Below are 6,984 nucleotides of genomic sequence, written 5' to 3'. Positions count from 1 at the left end.
AAAAAAAAAAAAAACAAAAAGAAAGAAAGAAAGAAAGAAAAAGGTACACCATGCAAATGGTAAGCATCAGAAAATTGTATTAATATCAGACGAAGTATACCTCAAGAAAAAGAATATTACTAAAGAAGAAGAGAGAGATTTCCTAATAAAAGGATCAACTCATCGAGAAGATATGAGTCTTAATGAGTATAAGAACTTCAAAATACATGAAGCAAATATTGAAAGAACTAAAGGGAGAAACAAAAACTTCCCAATCATATCTGGAGATTTTAGTACCCAACTCTTAGTAACTGCTAAATAAACAGAAATCAATAAGGATATGTAAATCTTAACACAATGAACCAAATGGACCTAACCGACATTTATAGGTTATTACATCCAACAAGTGAAAAATACATACTTTTTCATATACACATGGAAAATTCACCAAGACACACTGTATGCTGGCCCAAGAAACAAGTCTCAGTAAATGTTCAAGAATCAAAATAATACCGAGTATATTCTCTGACTATAATGGAATTTGATTAGAAATCAATAACAAGAAGATATTTAACCCCCCCCCAAATATTTGCAAATAAAGAATGTAATTCTAAATAATCTGTGGGACAAAGATGAAATCACAAGGGAAATTAGAAAATAACTGAATGATGAAAACCTGTCACATGAAAAACTACGGCATTATGAAGCTGAAGCAGCACTTAGAAGAGAATCTGTAGCGTTCAATGCTTCTATTCAAAAAGAAGAAAGGTGTAAAATAAAAGAATGAAGCTTCCACCTTAAGAAGCTAGGAAGAGTTGAGGAAACTGAACCCAAAGGAAACAGAAGAAAGAAAATAATAAGATTGTTATTCACTGAAACAGAAAACAGACTAAGAAAAAGAAAATCATCAAAGTCAAAATGAGTCATTGGAAAGATTGATAAAATTAATAAACTCTTGCTGCTTCTCAAACATTTTCCAGTAGGTTATTCACAAATTTGCATTAGAGACCAGCAGTGGATGCTCTCAGCATGTAGGTGTAGCCCTCTTGCCACTCGTAGGGGAGAGACATGGAGGGACACACAGCCCCCAAGACTCAAGAGATGGAGGGGGAACCTGGGACACCCAGACCTCCAGGAACTCATTAGACATGCAGGACATAGGGATAGGTCCCTGTGGTGTTTTCTGCATGGACCCACAGCCTGTAGGGAGCCAAGGAAGAGCCACCTTCATGCAGAGAAGAGGAAAGGAAAGGATAGCAGAGGGAAGTCAACCCGAGAAGAAACTCATGAACAATTTTTTAAAAAATCTAGGTCTTGGGGCTGGGCGCGGTGGCTCACGCCTGTAATCCCAGCACTTTGGGAGGCCGAGGCGGGCGGATCACGAGGTCAGGAGATCGAGACCATCCTGGCTAACACGGTGAAACCCCGTCTCTACTAAAAAAATACAAAAAATTAGCCGGACATGGTGGCGGGCGCCTGTAGTCCCAGCTACCCCGGAGGCTGAGACAGAATGGCGTGAACCCGGGAGGCAGAGCTTGCAGTGAGCCGAGATAGCGCCACTGCACTCCAGCCTGGGCGACAGAGCAAGACTCCTTCTCAAAAATAATAATATCATCATCATCATCATCATCATCATCATCATCATCATCATCATCATCGTCTAGGTCTTGGGATTTGCGGGATGCTCCTGGCTCTGAAAATAAACTGTCTCTGAGATCCCCAGGGTAGAGAAACATGGGGAGGTTACAGGCATTCTGCTGCAGGATTGTCTCTTCTTTATTCACTTCTCTCTCTTACCATTGCTTCCTCCACAGAGGAGACTGGAAAGGTCTATGCCAACTCCAGCAAGGTGTGGGTCCAGGAATACATCAGCAACTGGAATTAAACCCCGGCAAGGTCTGGACCCAGCAAGAAAAGTGCTAGAGATGTGAACAGATTGGGCACAGGGACCCAAAACAGGCAAAAGTCTCTGCAACCTCAGAAACTGATTCCAGATCTGGGGGTCTAACTTCATTTTAAATGTACGTATGCTATTTTACTTATAATCCCTTTTTGATTGTGAATTGTGTTGTTTACTAAATGTTCTGGGAAGTCAGATGGCCTTCTCTTGTCTCCCTCCACCTTTCCCCTTCAGTCACAAAGGGATTGACTCCATTTCATGGCTGCAATGAGCTATCTAGGCAGACATTGTAAGAAATTCATCAAACCAGCACATATTTATTGACTATGAGTAGCCAGTGCTGGGTTCAGGCTTTGAAAGAATAAAATATTCCTCTCTTTCTTTCTTCCTTGCTTCCTCACTTCCTCCCTTCCTAACTTCCTCCCTCCCTGTCTCCTTGTCTCCCTGTCTCTCTAGCTCCAAATTTAATAAACACTAGTTTGAAAAGTATTCATATTAGTGAAGATGTGGAGCAACTGACATGCACACACTGCTGCAGGGAGTGTGAATTTGTCCTCCCACCTTGGAAAATACCATTGTCATCTTGTTGCAGCAAAGGTGTGCATGGCCGATGACCTAGCAGTCACACTCCTAGAGAGAGCCACAGTTACCCTTGCACGTTCACAGCAGGAAACATACACAAGAATACTCCAATCAGTGCTGTTGGCACTAGCAAAAATAAAAGGGGCAAATGGAAAATAAATCACGGTATGTTCATAAACCAAAATATTACCAGGAACGAAAGCAAGCACATTACAGCTACATATAGTAAATAGTGTGAATCTCAGGAGCATAATGTTGAGAGGGAAAAAAAGCTATGGAATAAAACATATAATAATTCCATTTATGTAAGTTTGAAAACAGCCCAGAGCAGTGGCTCACACCTGCAGTTCGAACACGTTGGGAGGCCGAGGTGGGCGAATCGCTTGAGCCCAGGAGTTCAAGACCAGCCTGGACAACATGATGAAAACCCATCTCTACAAAAATAATACAAAAACCAGCCAGGCATGGTGGCACATACTTGTAGTCCCAGCTACTTGCGAGGATGAGGTGGGAGGATCTCTTGATTTCAGGGAGGTCGAGGCTGCAGTGAGCCATGATCGTGCCACTGCCCTCGGCCTGGGTGACAGAGTGAGATCCTGTCTCAAAAAAATGAAATGAAGTTTAAAAACATACAAAGTTAAATATATTAATATTCAAATCTATATGGTGAAATGATCAGAAAGGCAAGAGTATATTATAAACATTATTCAGGAGAGAGATCACTCTGTGGAAATGACCACTCAGGGACCATCCCAGGCATCGGGTACAGGGATGCTTGTTGTATTGCTACTCTTTATTCTCAGTCCATATTTTATGCCTAGTTAATATCAAAATATATATTATATATAATTTAAAATACATATATATTATATATAAATAAATATTATATATATATTCTATATATATTTATATATAATATATAAATAAAAATATATATTATATATAAATATATATATAAACAATATTTATATATATATAAACAAATATATAAATAATATTTATATATATATAAACAAATATATAAATAATATTTATATATATATATAAACAAATATATAAATAAAACTATGGGCGAGGCATGGTGGCTCACACCTATAATCTCAGCACTTTGGGAGGCCAAGGTGGGCAGATCACCTGAGGTCAGGGATTTGAGAGCAGCCTGGCCAACATGGTGAAACCCTATCTCTACTAAAAATATAAAAATTAGCAGGCGTGGTGTGAGATGCCTGTAATCCCAGCTCCTCGGGAGGCTGAGGCAGGGGAATCACTTGAACCCAGGAGGCAGAGATTGCAGTGAGCCGAGATCGTGCCATTGCACTCCAGCCTGGGCAACAAGAGCGAAACTCCATCTCAAAAAAAATAATTAAAAAAAAAAGCTAGCCAGACGCAGTGGCTCACACCTGTAATCCCAGCACTTTGGGAGGCCGAGGAGGGCGGATGACCTGAGGTCGAGAGTTCGAGACCAGCCTGACCAACATGAAGAAACCCCGTCTCTACTAAAAATACAAAATTAGCCAGGTGTGGTGATGCATGCCTGTAATCCCAGCTACTCAGGAAGCTGAGGCAGGAGAATCACTTGAACCCGGTAGGCGGAGGTTGTGGTGAGCCAAGATCGCGCCATTGCACTCCAGCCTGGGCAACAAGAGTGAAACTCCGTCTCAAAAAAAAAAAACCTGTAAAAATCAGGCTGTAGAAAAGAACAGTTATTATTACCTCATTTTTGTTTAACTGTATATCTGTATTATACATAATGACTACATACAAAAACATGACTTGAAACTTACACATCAAAATATTGATAGTAAAGAGATTTTTTTCATTTATTTGATTTTCTTAAAAATTCTGTTAAAAAGCAGGCATCTTTTTTGTTAAAAATTATTTTAAATTGCATATAAGAATTTTACAATGAAATTGAAATTGTACACAACTTGTGAAAACATGGAATATGACTTTTTTTGGTATGATCCCACGTAGGGAGAAAGCAAACAGGGAAAAAAGATGAAGACACATCTAAGAATGTTATTGTGGGATCACAGGGGATTTTTGCTGACTTCTTTTTGCTTAAATATTTTCAAAATTTTTCCATAGTGTTGCTTTTTTAATAGTGAATGATGGTAAAAGTGTTTGCTTTGTTTTACTTTAGGAAGAAGGTGCCAGAGGCTTACTGTTTGCTTAAACTCACAGAAGGCCCTATGCATCTTGTTTGCAGCTGAATCTCCAGTGCTCTGCTCATGGTATGTATTCAATACATATTTACAGAATAAATGAATGAGTAAATGAATAAAGAGTGTTAACTGAACAGATGGAAGGGATAAAGCAGAACATGTGGTCTCCAATTTTTATTCATTCATTCTCTGTCCATTATAGGCTAGAATGGGGATAATTCCCAAAGATACGAAGAAATCGAAGCCCAAGATGGGTGGCTTCTCAGTCCCTTGACTTGGATGAAGTCCTCTCTATCAGCTGAGAAAACACATGGTAGAGATTGATGATCTTTGCAGATTCTTGGGAGGCAGACAGGTTGTGGAATATTGAAGATGAGAAAATAGCACCCAGCTTTCCAAAAAAGGAGGGAGAAAGAAAATAGACGATAGACTCCATCAACTTCAGAGTGGTCAGCTGCCTCTAGACTAGTCAAGATTCTACATATACCTATACAATTCTTTTTTTTTTTTTTTTTTTGAAACGGAGTCTCACTCTGTCGCCCAGGCTGGAGTGCAGTGGTGCGATCTCGGCTCACTGCAAGCTCCGCCTCCCGGGTTCACGCCATTCTCCTGCCTCAGCCTCCCCAGTAGCTGGGACTATAGGCGCCCGCCACCATGCCCAGCTAATTTTTTTGTATTTTTAATAGAGACGGGGTTTCACTCTGTTAGCCAGGATGGTCTTGATTTCCTGACCTCGTGATCCGCCTGCCTCGGCCTCCCAAAGTGCTGGGATTACAGGTGTGAGCCACCATGCCCGGCCTATAATTCTTATTTTAAAAAACCTCTTGTTGGCACTTCAGAAAGGAAGTAGTCACTGCAAGTCAGCATGGTGCAGTTAGGCCGAATCAAGCTGGACCAACCCCATTTCCTTCTCTGGAAGCAATGAACATCTGGGGAAGGGTGTAGACAGAGGGCCTCATAGTCAATGGTCAATAGAAAATACTCTGGAATCAGCCGGGGAAACAATTAAATTCAGGAAACAGATACAGTCGTATGTTGCTTAACGATGGGCATAGGTTTTGAGAAATGCTTCATTAGACAATTTCATTGTACAGACATCACATACTTACACAAACCTAGATGGTGGAGCCTGCCACACACCTATATGGTACAGCAATTGCTCCTAGGCTACAAACCTGTGCAGCATGCTACTGTACAGAATACTGTAGGCAGTTGTAACACAGTGGTGAGTATTTGTGTACCTAAACATACCTAAACATAGAAAAGGTACAGTAAAAATAAGGTAGCATAATTTTTGTTTAATGTATTGCTGCTGAACAAATTATGGTATTATAATCTTATAATAAGATGTGTAGTAGGCTACACCATCTAGGTTTGTGTAAGTACATGATGTCTGTATAATGATGAAATTGCCTAACAAAGCATTTCTCAGAACATATGCATGTTGTTAAGTGTCATATATGTAGTCTGTCATTGATAAAAACATCATTATGTGGCACATAACTATATACACTGCTGCATGAGCCAGTGTGCAAAAACAACTTTACTAAAATAAGAATAGTCTAATAAAAAATAAAGCCATAATTCTCCCCATGCCTCCTTCTGCAACTCCAGCCTTTCTCCTTTGAATAGGGGAAGTGGGGCCAGTCAAGCAAGACCGCAGCTCTGGGAGGAGGGTGAATGTTATTTACCAAAACATGGGAGGCAGATGATTCAGTAACTTAGATGTGGGAGGCCAGAAGTTGGCATAGACACCCAAGGGATCATATGATTCAACTATACACCAACGAAAAATGACTGCATGTAAAAATTGGTAAAATTTTAATAAGATCTGTTTTGTTGATAATATTGTAGAGGCCGGGCACGATGGCTGGTTGGGCGCAGTGGCTCATGCCTGTAATCCCAGCACTTTGGGAGGCTGAGGCAGGCGGATCACTTGAGGTCAGGGGTTCAAGACCAGCCTGGTCAACATGGAGAAACCCCATATCTACTAAAAATACAAAAATTAGCCAAGCATGGCGGTGAGCACCTGTAATCCCAGCTACTCAGGAGGCTGAAGCAGAAGAATCACTTGAACCCAGGAGACGGAGGTTGCAGTGAGCCAAGATGGTGCCACTGCACTCCAGCCTGGGTGACAGAGCAAGACTCTGTCTCAAAAAATAATAATGATAATGATATTGTAGAACTGTCAATTTTCTAGTTTTGATGATCATAATGCATTTTTTATACGGTTGTATATGAAGTTTTATAAGCTTCCCATTGGGGGAAGCTGAGTCAAGATTGCACAGAAACTTTATGTACTATTTCTGCAATTTCTATGTCAGTGTAAAGTTATTTTAAAATAAAAAGTTACCATAA

General features: G+C 40.3%; 1 long non-coding RNA gene across 1 annotated transcript; it reads left to right on the top strand.

The window, feature by feature from the left end:
* The first annotated feature begins 1,913 nt into the window (after positions 1-1,913).
* Positions 1,914-4,918, top strand: LOC105371746 (uncharacterized). The gene is made up of 3 exons (XR_001752856.2): positions 1,914-2,000; positions 4,605-4,695; positions 4,829-4,918. It is a non-coding gene; the product is annotated as an uncharacterized LOC105371746 (long non-coding RNA).
* Positions 4,919-6,984: the final 2,066 nt, after the last annotated feature.

This window comes from Homo sapiens, chromosome 17 (assembly GCF_000001405.40).
Source record: "Homo sapiens chromosome 17, GRCh38.p14 Primary Assembly".
In the NCBI taxonomy this organism is placed as follows: domain Eukaryota; kingdom Metazoa; phylum Chordata; class Mammalia; order Primates; family Hominidae; genus Homo; species Homo sapiens.
Note: the sequence above shows the minus strand (reverse complement) of the source record. Positions and strands in the feature narration are given on the sequence as shown.